Source organism: Homo sapiens, chromosome 2 (genome assembly GCF_000001405.40).
Source record: "Homo sapiens chromosome 2, GRCh38.p14 Primary Assembly".
In the NCBI taxonomy this organism is placed as follows: Eukaryota; Metazoa; Chordata; class Mammalia; order Primates; family Hominidae; genus Homo; species Homo sapiens.
In genome coordinates this window covers 81996428-82019409 of record NC_000002.12, presented here as the reverse complement: position 1 = coordinate 82019409, position 22982 = coordinate 81996428, and the positions used below count along the sequence as shown (strand labels likewise).

At 34.6% G+C, this 22982-nt stretch overlaps 3 annotated features.

Annotated features, from left to right (window-relative positions):
* Window positions 5180–5701: an enhancer, noted in NCBI's record as "OCT4-NANOG-H3K27ac hESC enhancer chr2:82240833-82241354 (GRCh37/hg19 assembly coordinates)". NCBI's record gives its function as "activates a minimal SCP1, AML or CMV promoter by ChIP-STARR-seq in naive H9 embryonic stem cells {active_cell/tissue: H9 hESC(naive)}" and the evidence as "EXISTENCE:reporter gene assay evidence [ECO:0000049][PMID:30033119]".
* Window positions 12869–13432: an enhancer, noted in NCBI's record as "OCT4-NANOG-H3K27ac hESC enhancer chr2:82233102-82233665 (GRCh37/hg19 assembly coordinates)". NCBI's record gives its function as "activates a minimal SCP1, AML or CMV promoter by ChIP-STARR-seq in naive H9 embryonic stem cells {active_cell/tissue: H9 hESC(naive)}" and the evidence as "EXISTENCE:reporter gene assay evidence [ECO:0000049][PMID:30033119]".
* Window positions 13433–13997: an enhancer, noted in NCBI's record as "OCT4-NANOG-H3K27ac hESC enhancer chr2:82232537-82233101 (GRCh37/hg19 assembly coordinates)". NCBI's record gives its function as "activates a minimal SCP1, AML or CMV promoter by ChIP-STARR-seq in naive H9 embryonic stem cells {active_cell/tissue: H9 hESC(naive)}" and the evidence as "EXISTENCE:reporter gene assay evidence [ECO:0000049][PMID:30033119]".

The window sequence follows — 22982 nt, the reverse complement described above, 5'->3', positions numbered from 1 at the left end:
AGCATTATCTATCTATCTTTCTAGTGGCTATTGTAAATGGAATTGTTTTAATGATTTCTTTTTCAGATATTTGTTGTTTACATATATAAATGCTACTAATTTTTATATGTTGACTTTGTATCCCATAAGGTAACTGAATTTTTTTTTATTCTAACAGTTTTATTTGGTGGAGGTTTTTTGTAATGGTTTTTCAAAATATAATAGCATGGTATGTCTTCTGTGAACAAGAATAATTTAACTTCTTCCTTTCAAATTTGGATGCCCTTTATTTCTTTCTCTTGTCTAATTGCTTTATATAGGACATCTCAGTAGTACATGTAATAAAAATTGTGAAAGTGGACATCTTTGTCTTGTTCTAAATCTGACAAATTTTCAGTTATATTTCTATGTGCTGTAATGTTAGCTATGTTTTTGTCAACTATGAGCCTGAAAAACTACCCCTTCAAATTTTTAATTAAGTTAGACTGTGGAGCAATTTATACCCCAGGTCATAAGAGTAAATCAATTAGTTATCAATTAGCAAAGCCCAAGAGTTGGTATGATACCAGTAGAACCAGGCAGAGGACAACATTAAGTTCTCAAATATACATATACTGGGAGTATCAGGAGAGAGGAGAGAAAATAAGAAGCAGGAAAATGAATCCAAGAAATAATAGCTGAAAATTCCACAAATTTAGTGACAAGCTTTCATTTACATATCCAAGAAGCTCAACAAACTCTAAGGAACATAAACACAAAAAGTTCCAAATAAACACATCATAGTAAAATGTCAAAAACCAAAGGGAAAAAAAAACTCTTGAAAACAGCAAGAAAAAAAAGATTTCTCATATAAAAAGTAACTCCAATAAATTTAGAAGAAATAGGAGAAGTCAGAAGGAAGTGAAAGGACATATTGAAAAGTACTAAAAATAAGCCCCACCCCCCAGCCCCACAAAAAACAACTGTCAAACAAGAATCTTAAATTCTGCAATGGTATATTTTAAAATGAAGGTAAAATAAATACTCTTATAGATAAACAAAACTTGAAAGAATTCATTGCTAGTAGACCTTCCTTGCAAGATATAATAAGGAAAGTTCTTTAGGCTGAAAGGAAGTGATCTAAGACAGTAATTCAAATCCACATATACAAACAGTAAGCATGGGTAAAAATGGTTATGTAATGACTAATGTACATGTATGTGTATATTTCTTCTCTTTTCTTAATTGATTTCAAAGCATTTTTATTAATCAATATCTACATAGTTGTATTGATGGGCTATAATATATACTAGTATAATATGTTTGGCATAAGACCTCAAAAGTTGTGGGTAGGAGCACAGATCAATTGAAATAAAAAAATTAACATTAGTTGGGAACCCAAATTAATATAACTAAGTGAAGAGAATTAGAAGAGGTAAATAAGAATGTTAATACACCAAACCCTGTAAGTATATAGTTATTCTTTCTTCCCTTACCATCTTAAAAATATACCAAATTATAGACAGTAACAGTTAAAGCAATTTATTATTGGGTTTGTAACACTTACAATCTGTATAATACTAATAGTTCAAAATGGGAGAAAAGAAAATAATGCTTCTATATCTCTCTAGAATTTATGTTAATGTAAATCAGTATCAGAATATAAGTTGATATATGGTAAGCCCTAGAGAAGCCACTAACACCACAATGAACAACAAAAAAAGATAAAAAAATTTAGTAACAGAATAAACATGTTGCACTAGAAAATACTCATTCACAATGAAAAAGTAATAGTGGAGAAATAGGGGAGTAAAAAAGATGAGATATACAGAAAAAGTAAAATGAGTAAATTCAATGGTAAAAATAAAATTGAATGTGAAACAACTAAACAATTGAGTCAAAAGGCAGAGATTGTCAGACTGGAGAAAAAATCCTACTTCATGTTATCTACAGGAGATACACTTTAGATTTAAAGATAAAATTAGTTCAAAGTAAGATAATGAAAAAAAATCATGAGTCCAGCAAACACAAGAAAGCTACAATTACTATATTAGTATCAAACAATGAATAATTTAAAACAAATAAAGTTACTAGAGATCAAGAGAGACATTTTATAATAATAAAAAATTTATCCAGCAGAAACATGCAACAATTATAAACATATATGCAGCTAATAACAGACCCCAAAATTACATGAAGGAAGAACTGGCAGAATTGAAGAGAGTAACAGACAACCCAACAATAATTGCTGGGGATTTTGATATGCCATTTTCAATAATGTATGGAAAAAACAGGAAGAAGATCAACAAGAAAATTGCACACTTGACTATTAGTATAAATCAATTAGATGTAATAACATCTATAAAATACTCCACCTAAAAACAGCAGAATACACCATCTTCTCAAATGCACATGGAAAATTCTTCAGCATACTGTATATGATAGACCATAAAAAAAATTCTCTAAATTTTAAAGGATTGCAATCACACAAAGTATGTTTTCCAGTCACAATATAATGAAATTATAAATAAATATATAATATATTCACAAATATGTAAAAATTAAGCCATTTAATTCTAACTACCAAATGGATCAAAGGACAAATCACAAGGGAAATTAGAAAAATTCTTTGAGATAAATGAAAATGAGGACAATCGCATTCCAAAACTTCTGGGTTGCAGTAGAATAGTACTTCAAGACAAATGTAGAGCGAGCTGTAAATCTTGTATTAATAAAGAAGAAAGATCTCAAATCAAGTATATAGACACATTAGAAAAGAGGAAAAAACTAAATCCAAAGCAATTAGAAGAAAGTCACTAATAAATATTAGAGGAGAAATTAATGAACTAGATGAATGAAAATACAAAAAAAGAATTAATGAAACAAAATTAATTGAAAAATAGATTTTTCTTTAAAAAGATCAACAAAGTTGACAATACTTTAGCTAAGCTGAACAATAAAAAATAGGAAATACTCAAATTACTAAATTTAAGAATAAAAGAGGGGACATTACTACTTAACTCACAGAAATAATAGCAATTTTAAGGGTATATTATAATCAAATGTATGCTATTTATTTGATTACTTAAACACATTTTTAGGAAGACTCAAAACATCAAAATAATTAAAGAAGAAAGAGAAAATATGAATATACCTATAACAAATAAAGTGATTGAATTTGTAATTAAAACACTTCCCACAAAGGAAATTCAGAAGTAGATGGCTTCACTAGTGAATATCACCAAATGTTAAAGAGAAATTAATATGGATTTGTCATGTCTCTTCCAAAACATAGAAGGGAAGGGTGAGAATCCCAACTCATTCTATGAAGCCAATTTTACCCTAATACTAAAACCAGATAAAGACAACATAATAAAGCTACTAATATCTCCTATGAATATAGATATAAAAATTCTCAAAAAAGAGTAGCAAATCAAAACCAACAACATATAAAAATGATTAGATACAATATCACGTTTGATCACTCTCAGGAATGTAACATAGGTTCAACTTATGAAAATCAATATAGTATACCATATCAATAAAATAAAGGGGAAAAACTTGATTTCTGCACCCTAGGAATAAAGGGGAGCATTCTCAACCTGATAAAAGCATCTATGAAAGATCCAGAAACAACATCATTAATGGTGAAAAAGATATGATTTCCCTCAAAAAAACATTTTTAAAGGCAAAAATATTTTTGCTTGACATTTCTGTTCAACATTATATGGGAATTTCTTCTCAGTGCAGTTAGGCAAGTAAAGAAAATAAAGGGCATCTGAATTGGAAAGAGTAAAGCTATCTCTATTGACAGATGATATGTTCTTATTTAAAGAAAATCCAAAGAAATTCACTAAACACCTATTACAACTAATTTAATGAGTTTACCAAGGGTATAGGACACAAGATCAATATACAAGAATGCTATATTATACACTAGTAATAAACAACCTCAAATGGAATTAAGAAAAAATTTTCTATTATTATAAAACTGAAATAGTAATAAACATAAGAAGAGAAATGCAAACATTCCGGGAGCAAGTTCAAAGAACTAAAACAGAAAGACTATATTTATGGATCAGAAGATACTTCTATGAAGAAGGCATACTTCCCAAATTTATCTGTTGATTGATCTTTATTAATTATCTAATTATCATTTATCTAACCCCAGCTGACTTTTTTGGAGAAATGGACAAGCTGATTCCAGAATTCATATGGAAATTTAAAGGATTCATAATCTTGAATAAATGGAACAAAGTTGGACGTTTTATACTTACAGATTTCAAAACTTACTATAAAGCTACAGTAATCAAGGCTGCATGGTACTGGCCAAAGTAGAGACATAAAGATCAATAGAATAGAATGAGAATTCAGGCCGGGCATGGTGGCTCACACCTGTAATCCCAGCACTTTGGGAGGCTGAGGTGGGCAGATCACAAGGTCAAGAGTTCGAGACCAGCCTGACCAACATGGTGAAACCCCATCTCTACTAAAAATACAAAAATCAGCCAGGTGTGGTGGTGTATGCCTGTAATCCCAGCTACTCAGGAGGCTGAGGCAGGAGAATCACTTGACCCTGGGAGGCGGAGGTTGCAGGCGCCCCTGCACCCTAGCCTGGGTGACAGAGCGAGATTCCATCTCAAAAAAAAAAAAAAAAAAAAAAAAAAGAGAGTCCAAAAAACTTTTCTCACATGCACAATCAATTGATTTTTGTTAAGGTTCCATGATAATTCAAAGATGTTCATCTTTCTTGACTATCAAGAAATACAGATCAAAACTGCAATCATCATAACTGCTAGGATGATTGTAGTAAAAAGGGCAGAAATACAAGTACTGGTAAGGGCGTGAAGACATTTGACCCCTCACCCATGGCTGATGAAAATGGAAAATGGTGCAGCTAGTTTTCATCTGGCAGTTCCTCAAACTAAAAATTACCATATGACCCAGTCATTCCATATACCCAGTCCTAGGTATATATGTATCTACATATATTTTAATGTAAACATGTCCATACAAAGGTTTGTACATGGATGTTCACAGTAGCAGAATTTATAGTAGCCAAAAGTGGAAACAATTCACATATCTATTATCTGATATTGGATAAGTAAAATATTGTATATTCAAATAATGGAAAGTTATTCTACCATAAAAAAGCATGAACTATCAATACACGCTTCCACATAGATAAATCTTGAAAACATGCTTCTACTTGCAAGAAGCCAACAGAAGACTACATACTGAATTATTCATTTCATAAAATGATACAGAATATCCAGAATAGGCAAATTCATAGAGATGGAATGTAGGAGATCAGTCAGGGTGGTGCAAGAAATCATAGGAAAAACGCAAACCTTCTTGGAAGGCCAGGAGGTTTTGCAAAAGGTTCGAAAGATAATTTGGCTGAAGGCAGTCAAATTCTCTTATTTGGAGCCTGAGAGCAAAAGGTAGATAACAAAAAATAATGTAAAGGGATTGATCTAGATAAGTTAGTTTACTTAGGCCTCAGAACCTGCCTTTAAATCATCCACACAAAGGACAGCCCTCTCCGGGGGGCGACCATGTTAATTACCCACAAGTGTGTTGATTCGAAGCCTTTGTCATTAATTCTTCACTAAGTAAATGCCCGCAGCACTGGCTTGTCTGGGCTACAGCTGCTGGGACACTTTATGGCACCTTCCTTGGTGTCTGTGGTGGCCCGGTCCCCTAGCCATGCAGTCAGGCAAAAAAACCTGTGTCTACGTACAATTTTTCATCTGTCACTTGGCCAGGATCTGCAGGTCAGACCCAGCAGTGGAGAGTAAGTTACTGATTGCCTAGGGTTTGGGAAGTTGGGAGGAAAATAGAGAGTACTGCAAATGGATAGGGGATTTGTTTTGGGGGCGATTAAAATGTTCTAAAATCAACTTTGGTGATGTTAGAACAAGCTGTGAATATATTAAAATGATTGATTTATATACTCTAAATTGATAAATTGTATGGTATTTAAAATATATCTTAACATACAGTTATTAAAAATTGCAACTAATTAGAGAACTTGAGAGAGATTTTCTTATCTCAGGAGATATATGTTTAATTTTTAAAGGTGGTACTGAAGACTAAATCCTAGAAAATTTTTTCCCCCGACTGGAGACACTCAGATTGTCTTTTCCCTAGAGAGATGTATTCAAATACCAAAGAAGTAGAGTAAGGTATTTCAATACTCTCTCCAAGTAAATCCTCTTGTAAGGTAAGGAAAGGCTCTTCATCTCCTTTAATTATAGAGAAAATTCATATTTTCTCTCTCTCAGCCTTAGACTAGGCTGATGCTCAGAAGAGAGGTCTCAGTTGCTGATTAACATTTGGGAGTCATCTTTATTATTCTATGTAAGATAGCTGTTGGGAGATTTTAATGTGATAAGTTGAAGAAAAGACCTAAAATGAAATAGTTATTTATGCCAGAAATCTAAAAGAATCAACTGAGAAATTATTAAAACTAAAGAAGAGTTCAGCAAGTTTCTGCATGAAAGAAAATTGTATAGCCTTTTCCTAAACCAACAATAACAAAAATAAAATTAAATATGACTCCATTAAGAATAGCAACAAGAAACATAAAGTATATAGTAGTACATTAACAGCGAACCTGTAAGATCTCTGCCTTAGTCTGTTCGGGATGCCGTAAAAAACTATGGTAAACTTGGTATTCTTATAAACAAAAGAAATTTATTTCTTACAGTTCTGGAGGCTGGGAAGTCCAGGTCAAACAGCCGGCAAATTCAGCTGTCTGATGAGGACTAGCTTTCTAATTCATAGACGGCCTTTTTTTTTTTTTTTTTTTTTTTTTTTTTATATCCTCACATTGTGGAAGAGAAAGTAGTATCTCACCAGCTTCTTTTATAAGGACACTAGTTTCATTCAGAAGGGCCCCATCCCCAAGACCTAAACATCTCCCAAATGCCCCACCCTAATATCATCACATTGGGGGTTAGAATTTCAACATGTGAATTTTAAGAGGACACAAACATTCATGTCATGGCAATCCTTTGAAGAAAACTTTAAACCTTTAGTCAAGAGCATTGAAAACAATTTAAAAATTATATCTCCGTGTTTTTTCATGCATGACTAACTATTGTAACAATGTCAGTTCTTCACAATTTCATTTAGAAAAATTCTGCATATATATATGGGAAGGTAATGTAGAGTCCTGTAATTCAATTGGAATGGGGCAGATTATTTAATAAATGGCATTGTAAAAACTGATTTACTATATGGAGATAAGTGAAGCTGGATTTCTGCCTAAAACCACCTACAAGAATGAAACTCAAAAGGATTAGGACTATTAAAAGCATAGTGACTTAAGATTGGATAAGGGCTTCTTAAATAAAATTTTAGAACCATGAAGCATATGGCAAAAAGTGGGTAAGCTTTGTTACATAGAAGTTAAAGACTTCCGTTGAACAGTTAAAGCTAAAACTCTGGACAAACTTAACATACTAATGACAAAATGAGAGAAGGTATTTGCAAAACCTAAAACTAATATGGAGTTACTATCAAAGAGAGCACACGCACACACACACACACATACACACACACACAAATCCTACAACTTTCATAGAAAAACAACAATCCTAACCAAAAAAGTAAACAAAAAAAAGTTGGGATAATAACAGATCTAGGTTCCTAAAAGGCTAATTAATATATATAGAAATTATGATACCCACAAGTAATCAGTTAAATACCCATTAAAAAACAATGTGATATCAGTTTACAACCACTCTATTGGCAAATATTAGAAAACTAAATAACACCAAAATTTGAATTAGGATGTTGTGAAAAATTTGGGCACAAGAATAGAAAATAATGCAGCCATTCTGAAGACCAGTTTGGGGCTACTTATTTCAGTTTATTGTAGGGATACCCTATGACTCAACCACATATTCTCCTAGTGCCTCACACACACACACACAATTTTCACATAGGTATGTGGGTGGACTTGTGTGAAAATGCCCAGGTGACATTATTTGAGGTTGCCATGAATTAGTGGAATCTGGAGTTCTTCACTGGGCTAATGAATAGGTAAAATGTGGACTGCCCTGAGATTCACAGTGTCAGAATACCATGAGAATACACTGGAGACTTAGAGGAGGATAGAGAACTATGATGCAGTTAGAAGCCCAGGTCTAGACATGCACACATAGTTATTAAAAATGTAGAAAATATATTTTAATTAAAAAAATAAGACCTAGAATCCACTATCAGTTGAAATAGAAAGCAGGCACAAAAATCAACAATGTACATTTTGCAACAACATATAAACAAAAGATGCACATTAAACACATTAATGGATGTACATAAAGGAGGGAGGGAACAGGAGTGTGGAATTAAGACAAAGGAAATCAATAAATTGATAAATTAACAAAGGGGCTCTTCAAGAACCAATGTCTATAATGTACCATGAAACAGAGTGTGATTTAATCCAACCCTCTGCTTGTGGAAGGAACGGAGGGAGGGATATGTAAACGCATACCCTGGAGACATTTCACATAAAAATTTATGAATCACTTGTTCTAATCCTTTAGAACTTTAATGCAGAAGTACATAATTTTGAATTAGGTGTGTGTGCGTATAAATTTGTAGCACATTTTATTTTAGATAGCATAATTTTTATGTATTTTCTTGCCTGCAATTTTGAAAATTTTGTGAAGTATTCTCCCATTGGTGAACAATATGAGGCTCAGAAAGATTGAATGATTTGCCTAATAAGGTCCTTCATCTAGGAGTGGTAGAGCTGAGAATAAATCTAGGCCTTCTTTCTAGGTCTTTGAATTATCCCTTGGTAGGAATTAGCAGTGAGGATTCAATGTGTTATAGCTTCCATTTAACTTCAGGAAAGTATCTCTGGTGCTTTGCTGGAAGGAAGAAAAAATTGGAAGAGTAAGGAGGAAATTCTGTCAAGGTATTGAGATCAATGCAAAAACTTTTTTTAATAAATGTTAATTTATTTGGTGTCCACAGAATTTCAGAATCCTCAAAGCTGCCTTAGTCTGCCTATTCCTAGGGCCAGTTCTTCTTTAAGTTACCTGCTTTCAAATATAAAACCTAGCCTATTTAATCAGGTTTCTTCACCTGTAGAACAAAGGATGTATAAGGAGGCAGGACACTCATCTGGAAATGCAGTATTTGCTATAACATACAAAAAATATTGACAGAAAATAAAAGTATTTGGGAACAGCTTCTGTTCAGTACAAACACAATGCAGTACAAACACAATGATCTCCTCGTTTATTTTAGTAACAATTATTCTTATTTGATGTGGCCTCAAGTAGAATGTGAGCCTAGGAGAGAAGTGAAGCTGGCCTCCATGGCAATGAACGTCCATTATCTCACCAACACATGCCCAAGTATTTTCAATTCTAAGCATTACATGAAACCAGAGGACAGTTGTTGTGCTTATGTTCATTTATTCATAACTTTATTCACTCCATAAATATTTAGTAAATCCCTACTTCATGCTGGATACTAATTGTGCTAATTGTTGTGGATGCATTGGGGAATAACATTACATAGTTAGTTCCATTATGGAACCTACAGCCTATCATGAAAGACAAACATTAATGAAATGGTATAAGGTTTTTTTGATAGAAGTACAAAGCACTATGGAGTACCAGTAGGAGAAGCTAAATTGATGAATTGTTTAATATAATATTTTCCCTTTTCATTATGGAGAATTTTGAACATATATAAAAAGTAGAAAGAATACAACATCCCATCCAAACCTCCATTCACTTCTGTGTTGTTTTGAAGAAAATTAGACATTATGAAGAAATTAGACATTTTGAAGAAAATATTAGACATTATGTAATTTTAAACATAAACATTTTAGTATATATTTGTAATATATAGGGTCATAAAATAAACCCACAACTATTTGTGTAAATCTGGAAAGATTTAATAATGCTACGAATGTTCACACAGTCTCAGACAGCTAGTGGCACTGGCCAATGGCTAGACTATAGATTTTTGACTTGACTGGCATCTAATAAACTTGGAAAATTATTCTATATTTTCAAATATCTACAGCTACATCAAAAAGCAACTCATATTTTTATTGGTGCTTTATTACTTTGTTTACAAGCTCATTGGTTAAGCATAATGTTATCTCGTTGGAAATTATTAGGTTTAAATTTTCTATTGTAAAAATAATAATGTAATCACTTCTGAAGGAGAAAATCTTCAGCTGAAAGTGTGAAATATATGTACACAAAGCATTATTTAATAATGAGAACATACAGTGAAATATTCATATGATCTATGTTTTTTTCTAGGATTAGACATTATTGCTAGCTTCTATCATCTTGCATGTCTTTACCTGTTAAAGTTTTTAAAAAATAATAACTCATACCTTTTTTTTAATTTTTTTATTTTTATTTTTTGGAAATGCAGTTTCGCTCTTATTGCCCAGGCTGGAGTACAATGGTGCAATCTCGGCACACTGCAACTTCCGCCTCCCGGGTTCAAGCGATTCTCCTGCCTCAGCCTCCCGAGTACCTGGGATTACAGGCACCCACCATCACGCCCGGCTAATTTTTGTATTTTTAGTAGAGACGGGCTTTCGCCATGTTAGCCAGGCTGGTCTCGAACTCCTGACCTCAGATGATCCACCCACCTCAGCCTCCCAAAATGCTGGGATTACAGGTGTGAGCCACCGTGCCCAGCCAGTATTACCTAACTTTTATACAGAACTTGTCACTTGCTCTTCATCCACATGATGTATGGGTAGTAGTACTGGTGCTAACCATAGTGGAGGCTGCAATGCTCAGCTTTATCAAAAATGTTTCCAAATCTCATAGATAATGTCAGTCTATCATGTGATGCTGAAAATACACCAGAAGACAAAATCTCTAAAACTAAATTTGGAGTAAAGTTGTTTTCCCGTCACTACTGATAATACTGCTGTCTGTCATGGCATTTCTGGTAAGAGCAGAAAATGTAAAGGACTGTGAAATATTTCACTAATAAATGTGTTTATTATGTAACTATTGGCCAAATGTATCCCTTGAAACATTCTGGAACCATCATTAACCTTATATGGCAAGTAGGATAATATTTGGAAAATCCCCTATAAATCTATGCATTAAATTTGCATCTGTATTCCATACTTAGTGCAAGATTCAAAAGCTCTGGCTATTGGAATAGCAGTCCCCAAATTGAGAACAATAAAAATAACAGAAGAAATTTTAAAAAAGAAACAAAACAAAACAATTCACATTGTTCCCATCCTAACAAATCCAGTCTCTCACCCTCCTTGGATATTTTTATATAGCAATAATAATTTTATTTATAGCACATTATATTCTGCCTTTTGTTACTTATGTTGTAAACCAAAAGACAGTAATGTCCTCTATAAATATGTGCAAACATAACCACATTTTTATTAACTTTTGGGTTACCAGAAATGTCTATCTTTGGTAAATATGTTAGTTAACAATAAAAACAATAATTATGTTTCTGTAATGCACTTCATTGTTCCTTTCTAATATCATTCTTAGTGTTTTCTATCATGAATTTGCACTAATTGGTCTAATCTTACTGTTGCTAATTCTGTTTGTCTTTAACTCACCCCAAAATGTCCCTTTTATATCAAACCTTCTCCTGATGAATCCAGCTCACATGAATAACATTTATTCTCTAATCTTTGATTATCACATAATTCCTCAATTGTTTATAAGTTTATGTGTTGGTAAGATATGTCTTTTCACCCAAATTGCAGCTCTAAAACAAAAAAGTTTATAGATTAGAGTCCTTTGTTGTGCCCTATTATAGCTTTGGTACTGAAAAAAATGTCATTCTAGAAGCAGCTAAATGGGCATCACCTCGTGATTTGTTAGACATGAGCTGTCTCAGGACTCTCCAAGAACCAGTGAATCAGAATCTGCAGTTTAACAGTGATTCAAATGAACATTATAGTTTAAAGCAATGCCCTAACATGTATCAGACCTCTGTAAATGCTGACTAAGTGGTTAAGAGTTTATCAGCTGTTACAGTAGATTCTTACAACTACCATAACAAATTATCATAAACTTTATGGCTTAAAATAGCAGAAATGTCTTCTTTCACAGTAGGAGAGCTAAAGTATTAAATCAATTTGTCTGCGAGGTTGGTTCTTCTGTAGGCTCTGAGAGAGAACTATCCAAAGTCTCCCTAATAGTTTTCCTGGTGTTTCCTGGTGTTTTCTGGCAATTCTTGGCATTCCTTGGTTTGTAGATCACTCCAACCATTGCCTCCATTTTCACATCGCCTTCATCTCTATGTCTCTGTTTCCTCTCCTCTTCTTATAAGGCTAGCAGTCACTCATTTTAGAGAGATTCCTAAATCCAGGCTGAATCCATATCAAAATCTGGAACTAATTATATCTGTAGACCCAAATGCGGTCACATTCTGATGTTCCATGTGGACATAAATTGAGGGGTTGGGGGGCATTATTTAACTCATGACAACTATGTAAAACAAAGATGTAAGTCTTTTTTATTTATTTATTTTTTCATTGCAGATAAGGTGATGATGACAACTCTTTTATTCCAGAATTCAGACATGGTGAGAGATCTTTGTTGATGAAGACAGGAATTTTAGCTTTTGTTTTGGCTATCATGCCCCCATTTAAACACATGCAAAGCCTAAAGTGATGGGTTTCTTTCTTTCTTTCTCTCCATCTCTCTCTCTCTCTCTCTGTCTCTCCCTCTCTTCCACACAAACACACACACACACACACACACACACACACATAGGCCTTTCTAACTGTAAAACTTGGTTGTGGAATCCCTATAAGCTTTTCTTAAGATTTATCCTTCTCATTAAATAACTATGAAACCAATCATCTTTCTCATATGCATGTTTATAGTTACTTTCAGAAAACATAATGCTGTTGCTAACATTCTCTGTACCTACTGTATTTGTTTTCATGGCTACTATAGAAGTAACTGGGTATCTATAATGAGTTTCTTTTTTTCCATCTGAAAGTCCATTTTCTTTACAGCTTATAGCTAAATGATCAACTGATGTTTTTTTTTTTCTGTGAGCTGTTTACAGATGTTTCCCTTAATGTTGTTCAGTTAACATCTCTACAGCATGCATTTTCCCTCTCAAAAAGTTACTTAATGGTATATGTTAATGCATTCATGCCTAGAAGCTTTTAAAGTAACAGGAGCAAATGTTAAAAAAAAAAAAGAATAAATAGACATATGTAAATAAGCGTGCCTATCTATAAGTGATGATCTTGGAATTTTTAAATGTTGCTTCCCTTTCCCATTTGCTAAAAATGTCTCATGTGAGAACAACTGACAATCACTTTGCTGACTCCACTCAGAATACATTAAATGGCAGTAAGAGGGTTTTTTCACTCACGTCTGTGTGAAGAGACCACCAAACAGGCTTTGTGTGAGCCATAAAGCTTTTTAATCACCTGGGTGTAGGTGGACGGAGTCTGAAAAGACAGTCAGCAAAGGGAGATAGGGGTGGGGCCGTTTTATAAGATTTGGGTACGTAAAGGAAAATTACAGTCAAAGGGGGTTGTTCTCTGGCTGGCAAGGGTGGGGGTCACAAGGTGCTCAGTGGGGGAGCTTTTGAGCCAGGATGAGCCAGGAGAAGGAATTTCACAAGGTAATGTCATCAGTTAAGGCAGGGACTGGCCATTTTCACTTCTTTTGTGGTGGAATGTAATCAGTTAAGGCAGGAACAGGCCATTTTCACTTCTTTTGTGATTCTTCAGTTACTTCAGGCCATCTGGATGTATACCTGCAGGTCACAGGGGATATGATGGCTTAGCTTGGGCTCAGAGGCTGGACAGGTTTATTCAAAATTATGAGGGATTCATTTAATATCTGAATTGTTCAAGATAATGATTGGTGTGACAATGAGGTAAGAAACATTTTTGTTTAATCCTCAAAACAGCAAAGATTATTTTCACCCTCTTTGTATCTTGTATTTTTAAAAATACTTCTTTTCAAGGTCAAAACATTTAATAGATCTTTGTTTAATCAGCTGAAACTAAGGACTGATTTTGCCATTTCAGGATTGTAAAATAAGTGGAATTTGCCTTTTGGCAACTAGGTAGGTAGTCTTAGTGTTTCCCTGCTGCTGATAAATTCTTATTTTGTTACTCAACTAGTAACTGTTTTATGGACAGCATCCTATGCTTGGGAAAGGAATGGGAAAAAGTACTTTCTTTGGGTGGAAAATTTAGGGGTTTGCAAAATTAACAGGGTGCCAAAGAATTTTAAATGAAAACAAATAGTATTTTTATTAGGGTTGCCAGATAAAATATAAGATAAGCAGTTAAATATGATTTTCAGATAAAAAATAGATACTTTTTTATTAAAAGAATGCTTCACACAATAGTTTATCTAAAACTTAAATATTGCTTGGGACATACTTACACCAAAAACTTTCTTGCTGTTTATCTAGTATTCAAATTTAACTGTGTGTCCTATATTTTTACTTGCTAAATGTGGAAATTCTAACTTTATGCACTATTTTTTTAAAGTTAAAATTAATGCAAAAAAATCCATAATGAAAATAACATGACTTTTTAAATAAAGCTAAGTCTTACTGATTTTTTTCTTTTCCCTAAGGCTTGAATAGGCTCAGTACAGGATGGCAACTGATTCTATCCAACTTTTAAAAATATGGCATTGCCAGGTGCAGTGGCATGCACCTGGGCAACATCATGAGACCCCCATCTCAAAAAAAAGAAAAGAAATATGGGATGAAATAAATCTTGCATTAAAATATTATTTATCTCAATTACTGAGTAAGGAGGGCCACTTTAATTTTGTCCCTTGGGCAAATGCCTCATTTTTCTTGGGAGAGTTTGAACATTGCCTGGATCCTTCCTTAGCTCCTTACACTTTGCACTCACCACAGGAGCTGATTTTTATTGGGGACTATTGTGATAATAGCTGTAGTGAGAAAGTTTACACTTAAATGATTCTTAAACATTACCCAGTGTCATCGTTATGTTTGACAGAAGGAGAAATTAAAGCCCTGGGCTGTGATTTGACACAAACTCTAGTAACATGGGAAATTCCTAGCAAATTTGAACACAGAAAGCAGATTACCTAACAGCCCAACGCTACATAGTTATTTACACACACGCACACACACACACACACAGACACACAATTTTTCAGCAAATTTCAGAGAAGAATAATTATCATGTAGTAGCATCAAGATACTTAAGAACCTTGAAGAGATTATAAATGAGGCCACAGTCTGTCCAATCCCACCTAAAATCGCAACTACAAGTACTAAGATAATAAAAAAATTATATCATTTACGTATTTCACACGTATGTGTAGAGCTGCTTCTAATGTTAGGCATTATTCTTAGTACTGAGCTTATAGCAATGCATATGAAGGACAAAGTCCTTTTTCTCTTGGACTTCTGTCTTATTGGGTTAGAACCAGTATAAACAAATAGAGCAAATAAACAAATTTTGTTTTGCAAAATGCTAAAAATGAAATAAAGCAGGATAATAAGAAGTATGTTCCTGGGTATGAAGGGCTGTATTAGATAGTGATGGCAGGAAATGTTTCTTTGAGAAAAGCACAATTGAGATGGAAGATGAAGGTTGAAAGAGACAATTCAAGTTCTGGATAAACAAAATTCCAGGCAGAGAGAAGAGCAAAGATATAACATAGAAAAGGGATCCACCTGGCCCTATGTAAGGAACATGGTCCATGCATAATACCCATCTGCCTTTACTTAACACTGTATTTTAATAAGCAGCTGGAAATACTTTTTCATGGCTATTTAAATTATGTATCAGTGTTTGTGGAACCATCCAGCTACCCACAATTTGAAAACTACAAGTACCAAAAAACATGGTAACCAGCTACATATGGCTATTCAAATTTAAGTTAATAAAATAAAAAGTTCAGTCTTTCAGTGGCACTAGCTCTATTAAAATGCTTAAAAGGCACATGTGTTCTATAGCTATTGTATTGGACAGTGCAGATAGAGAGCCTTTGTTTCACCAATGACATTTGGTGCTACCAGCTTGGCACTAGTCTAGAGGAAAAGACAAACACATAACATTATGTGTGTGTGTGTGTGTGTGTGTGTGTGTGTGTAGTTTTTGGGAAAATAATTAACCCTTTGCATGTATTCATATATTCAGCAATATTGTGTGATTGCATACTGTATAACAGATGACAGGATCTATTATAAGAAATTGGAATTCAGCAATAAATGAACCAGAGGCAAAAATCTTTCTATTTACAAAGTTTATATTTTATTGATAAATAAGTAGGAAAATAAATAAATAGTTTAATATTGATACATGCTCAGGAGAAAAAAATAAATTGGGATAGAAGAATTGAAGTGTTGGCAGGAGATAGTTCTGAGGTTTTTACAAAATATATAGGGAAATTAAAGAAAGCCTTACTGAGAAGATGATGTTCGGAGAATAGCCTGAAGTAAGTAAGAGGATAAAGGAGATACCTGTAGCCAGAAGGAAAGGAAAACACAAAGGGCCTGAGATGGGAGCAGGCCAACCTGTCAGAGAAACAAAGAAGACATCAGCACAACTGAGGCAGAGCAGAAGGAGAATTAGGGCAGAGGAGGAGCTAGCCAGGGACTTACTGGGGCCAAATTATTTAAGGACTTGTGGATCACTGTAAGGCATTTGTATTCAAAGTCAGTATTTCAAAGAAAGCGTAGCATTTTTGTTCCACAGGATGCCAGATGAAAAGGAACAAGTTGTTATTCTAGATTCCTTTTCAAAATGGCTTGCAGTGTCCCTATACAGAAGTGAAGCACAATGGTAAAACATGGGGATGGATATCTGGCTTTGAATTACAGCTTAAAATCTTTGCTAGTGACTGTATAGACTTGGTCAGGTTACTTATCTGCTTTAAGGTAGGAACTGGCTGACACCTATGGAGTTTAATCTGTGTATTGGACATGGTACTTATCACTTAAAAGCATGCCATTTAGGCCAGGCGTGGTGGCTCACACCTGTAATCCCAGTACTTTTGGAGGCGGAGGCGGGCGGATCACAGGTCAGGAGATTGAGAACATCCTGGCCCACGTGGTAAAACCCCGCCTCTATTAAAATACAAAAAATTAGCAGGGCATGGTGGCACAGGCCTGTTGTCCCAGCTACTTGGGAGGCAGAGGCAGGGGAATCACTTGAACCCGGTAGGCGGAGGTTGCAGTGAGCCAAGATCGTGCCAGCCTGGCAACAGAGCAAGACTCTGTCTCAAAAGAAAAAAAGAAAAAGCATGCCATTTAATCATCACGGCAGCCCTACGAAGTGGTATAGTTGTCGCCCCTTATCCACGGGGGATATATTCCAAGACCCCCAGTGGATGCCTGAAGCTATAGATAGTACCTAATCTTATATACATTCTATTGGACATTTGATCTGATAAATGAGATGACTGCTAAGTGGCTAATGGGCAGATAATGTGTACAGGAAAGGATGATTTTCATTCCTGGCTGGATGGAGTAGGACAGGTGAGATTTCATCAGGTTACTCAAAATGGTGCACAGTTTCAAACTTATGAATTGTATACTTCTGAAATTATCCATTAAATGTTTTTGAACTGCGGTTGACTACTTGCGTCTGAAATCACAGAAAGTGAAACCGTGAATAAGGGGACCTGGTTTTTCGAATCTTAAAGTTAAGGAAATGAAATCAGTGACATAGTAACTTACCAGTTCACATAGCAAATATGATCAGCCTCATATATTTGAAGTATTTTAAATATAGAAATTCATGTAAATCACTTAGCATCTGTTGCATTATAATTATTATTACTATTATTATTTCCTTATCTCCTATGCAGCAGGCCCATCATAAACTTGACATCGAACTACACATACTCCCACAGCAAAATTATTTCTGATAAGAGCTTGAAATGTGCCTCAGGTAAAATTTTTTAAAATGGGCAAAAAAGATCACTATTTGAGCAGGCATTCATAAACACACAATTTGCTAGGTTTCTCATCAATTAACATAACATTGTGTATTCCAAGAACTACAGAATTAAAAATTGAATATCATCTCAAGAGGCACATTAACCATCTCCTCCAAACAAAGGAATAACAAAGCCAATGGGAATGTAAAATTATATCCACACCTACTTATCTATATGTTATGACGCACCATTTGATTGTTTTCGCTTTGAAAATGAATTGTCTACCTTAAGACTAATGGGAGGAGTCATTGTTACAGAGGGGTAGAGAGCTAGATGTAATCACTATCAGTTTAAAAATGCATTCTTTTTTGTTTGTTTGTTTGTTTGGTAGCACCATACTTAGCATAGGGTGTGAAAAAGTGACCAATAAGCTTTTTCTTCTCAGAATTCAGTTCATCGTCTGTCTGTATCATAAATAATAGGGAAAAATATGTACCAGAATAAAGCATGTTGATGTCTTAAAATAAGACCATATCATTTTTTTGCAGGAGTATAGATAGAATCAGAATGACAGCATAAATGAATAAAACAACGTACAGCAATATAAGGTAGCAAATGTCAAATGAAAGCTCAGAGAAACTTATAATAAGTGCTCTAGGAGACTGACTCTTGCTTCCTTTCAGTGCTGACATTCACACAAAATGCCACTCCAGACACAGTGACACTTGACCCAAAAGACTACAGCAGAGAGAGCAGCACAGCTGGCAAGGAATGCAAGACCCTTGATGCCTCAGTGAGTCAATACTTCAAACACATGGAAAGAGAGATTTATTCTTGTAACCTTACACTTCAGAGAGAAATGCAAAGAGTGGCAGCACAAACTGATGTGTAGCTGCGTAGGTTCTTCTTTCTATGAATTGTGAAATTTTGATTAACATTTGTATCAGTCACCCGGGATGTGCTTCACTGGATAGCATCGTTACTAGTTGATACAATAAGTCAATACTTGTGGCTCTCTTTAGACAAGAAGGTAACCAGGTAGAGAGCCATAGGGTCCCACAATTCATGCCCAGAGTACAGTGGAGGTCAGTGTTGGTTGAGGTTGATCACACTTAAGCCCTCTGCACCGACTCCCGATACAATTGCGGCTTCATGGTCCCCCATGACAATATCCCAAAGGGATTTTTCTTATATAGTCCCCACCCTACACATCTACCTATCACTCAATATTTGTCAGCTTTGTGTTTCCTTATTTTAGAGCCCAAAGGGGGAAGTATCTAGAATAGTTTGAAAGATAACATGTGACTGTGTGAATAGAAGAGCAGGCCATATACATAAAGTCACATGTCCATCTTCATTATAGCTATCTAGAGACCCTGGGGATATGCTAATAAGTGCTCTAAGCATTGTTTTTGAGGACAATAGTAGAATGTCCTAGGTAGTGATGTGCAACTCTTATGAGTATGTTTCTAAAGTGGCTGAAGATATATTGTGTTTGACCTGCAATAGAAAACTCTACTTTACCAAATGAATGCTGTTCACTGCCCCAGTGTCAGAAATGCCCCAATTAATATCTCTAACAGACGGAATTTTAAAGTTGATGAAAAGCTACTTCAGCAAGCAGCATTAGAGAAGCTGTATAGCATAGAAATTCAGGTTTGTAGACTCAGTTCTGAATTATGACTTTGGCATTTGTCAGCTGAATGGCTATACTCAGGCCATTTAATCACTCTGAACTCGGGTTCTCTGTAAAAGAAGGCAAGCATTATCCCACTGAAGTTTTTAATTAAATAGGATAATATCTATAAAACAGTTAGTCCAGTATCCTGCATTTAATAATATTCCAATAAATATTAGCTATGATAATTATTATTATAGAAAAACAGAAATTTGGGGGGCAGATGAAGACTTAAATAGTCATGTAGAATTTTATTCTGTATGATCAGCCATCTCATCAATTTCAGGTAGTGCCAGTTTTGGATAAGAGATGGAGAGGTTTCCTGCAGTATTTAGGAATACTGTTACACTACCACTTGCTTTATGGGAAAGCTATTAATATTAAAGTCATTCTGAATTGAATTTTGACTTTCAAGCCAGGTAAGAATGAACTATATCCATAATCGGGACTAGAATTCAAATTCCTGTTCTTTACTTTTTTTTTTTGGCACTTCACAGTTAAAATATTTATCTAATGATGCAATTTGTAGCAATTATCAGGAAGAAACCTTTAGTTACAAGGCACCACGTCCTGGCCATCCTCAAGGAATGTAAATAAAGATTTACTTAATTTTCTTTGTCCTTATATTTTAGCTATGGGGATGTTTTACTCTGTGGTCCATAAGTACAGTATTTTGGGCTTAGTCTTGGAGAAACTCTGACTGCTTTATGTTTTTCCCAATTGCTGTGTGCTTCCCTAGACTCCGAGACAGAGTAAACACATATATATGTTAACCTCAAGCATATTGAAATTTACAAAATATTTTCTGGTAAGTGAATGTCAGAAAATTGAGCAGTCCGTTCTTTCACCTGTTACCTCAATTTTGAAAAAATATAAAGATAGAATTCTTTGAAGGCCAAAATTGTTAATTAACTTAGATTTTTTCCTTTACAGCCTGCATTTATTTATTTGTGATATAATTAAATTTCTGATTTTTACGCCCCTCCATCTACAACCTAAAAAAATGTGGGGGAGGTTGAATTGGTTTTCTTGGTTATTTATTATCATATTGTATCACTGTCAGTGAAATTGACCATGAAAGCAAGCATTAAAATGCTGATCAAAAAATAAAGGATTCTTGGCATGTGGAACAATGATAAAATAACACAGTATCAAGCCTATTTTAATTAAAATAGCCCCTCTCCGGCTGGTGTACTGAACTGTTCTCAATGGTGGCAAGAAACTAATAAGAACTGTAAAGAGTGTGAGTGAGGAACTTTAAGCTGTCCAATTTAATTAATTCCAACTATCTGACCACTACTTTACAAGATCCTGAAGTTTAAGTGTTTAGCAAAACACTGTTCTGATCCCCATTACTGGCCAGACTCATGAACTTACCCCAGGTCCCCTGAATGTGGGTTGATAACTCCTAAATGTCTCTTCTCTCAAGAACTGTTCTCAGACAAATGCCACGAACCTTCACCACTGCCCCAGTGTCCACAGGCCCTGGCCAATGGTTGCCTGGCAAAGGAGGACAAAATATACATTATGGTGCAATTTGTGCATCTTGGTTTTCTTGTGAACCCTATTCTTGTTTACCTTTTTCCCCCTGCCCTATCCTATTTCCCTTACACCCTTTCTTCTGCGAGGACGATTCCCAATACATCACTGGGAAATAATTTCAATCCAAGACACTACTTCTGGGAACTCTCACCTAAGCCGTAGCATGCTTGTTAGTTTTAAGAGACGCTAAATCATCCAGGTCGTATTATATCATCTTATTACCTAAGATTTTGCTGCTAAAGAAATTACCTTTATTATTAATACTGTGGAAGCATTTGTCTACATTTATACATATGGTTAGGTGTGTGTAATAGGTATGTAATAGTTATGTCTAGGCACGTGGGTATGGGCATGGGTGTGAGTGTGTGTAAACATATATTTAAATGAAAAGTATCAGGATACAAAATTTGAAATTGTGGAAACAGTTGCTACTCTTGCATATGCATAAATATGCAAAGCTATGAAAATAAGTAGGAGTAGTTATACCCAGGTCTGATACAGTCATTAATCTCTACTTTCTTGATATGTATTATTGTCATATTTCCATTCAGCATTTAAAATATAAAGTAAATATTCAATAAAATAATAAAAACATAAAAATGAGGAAGCCAATCCCTTGGTTTTAGTACCACCTTACTAAATGAAGTACCCCTGTATCAAGGGTAATAATACATATTAACGTGGTTGCTGTCATAGGAGGTGGTCGCTTGGGAAACAGAAAGAAGAAACGACAGAGATGCTGAGGAATTCGATTGGGGGATGTGGATTGATTCTTGTTTGAAAAAAAACTTGCTTTTTGAGTATTTTTGCTCCTATTAAACTCTTAGTATAAATAACTTCTTATCCAAATTTTCACTCTGTTTTCCAGATACCAAATAACGACATGGGGAGAGGCCTTCCGTTTTGAATTGATTATATATGTAGTATAATTATCAGAATTTCTTTATGTGGTGAGGCCATTATCTCCATCACAGATGCCTTCTAAAACCACTGCCCATCCCAGGGAGTGAGGAGCCTAACATCCTAGATCCCTACAGAATTTTCTGACAGTGTGTACATGTCTTTACCACAGGAGGCTGTTTACCTGCTCACTGCCAATACCAATTGGCCAAATCATAGGATTCAATACCAGAATATACATGTTTGGTAATAACAGTCTTCTACATTGTAATGTATATTTAATGCTATATATTAACTGTTTCTATTCTTGTAACAATAGAAGTTATTAGCCTTTCAAAGTTGTACATGGCCTTTATGAAGTCCCATATCAGGTACATTGATATCACTTACAGATGACACTAAAATTACCTCCTATGGTAATATGAACCAAAGATAATCAGTGTATATTCTGTTAAATGAACATATAAAATAAGTATGTAAGAAGTAAACTTGTTCATGATTAAAAAAAACTTTTTGACTTTAACTGAAGCATTTTAAATATTAAAAGAGCAAAGTGTAAAGTAAAATCTACCAATATTTTGTGGCATTAGCCACAGAAAACCAGGGTAGAACAACTGAGGATTCATCTTTTTTGTCATAATAATTGGTATTCCAATTCTCATTCATGCAGTAATTAGAAATTTTGTACAATTCATTTTAATAACATTTTTGTAGCTTTTAACACCCCACCATAATTGCTGAAATAGTTCACTGCGCCCCCACCCCCCACAACACTTATGTCTAGTGTGTCCACCAATATTCATTACGTGGGCCCCATCACACCCCAGCAGCAGCTATCACCTAAGAAAAGTGATCCTATTCTTCCTGTCCATCTCAGTGTTTGACTGCCCTTAATTCCACTTAGTGGAGTCTCAGTGTTGTGACTGACAGTTATGAGAATTTATTTCTTAAAGAGCGCTAGAGTGTTTCTGGATTCTATACAGAATTGGTGATAATGGCTTCTATCCACA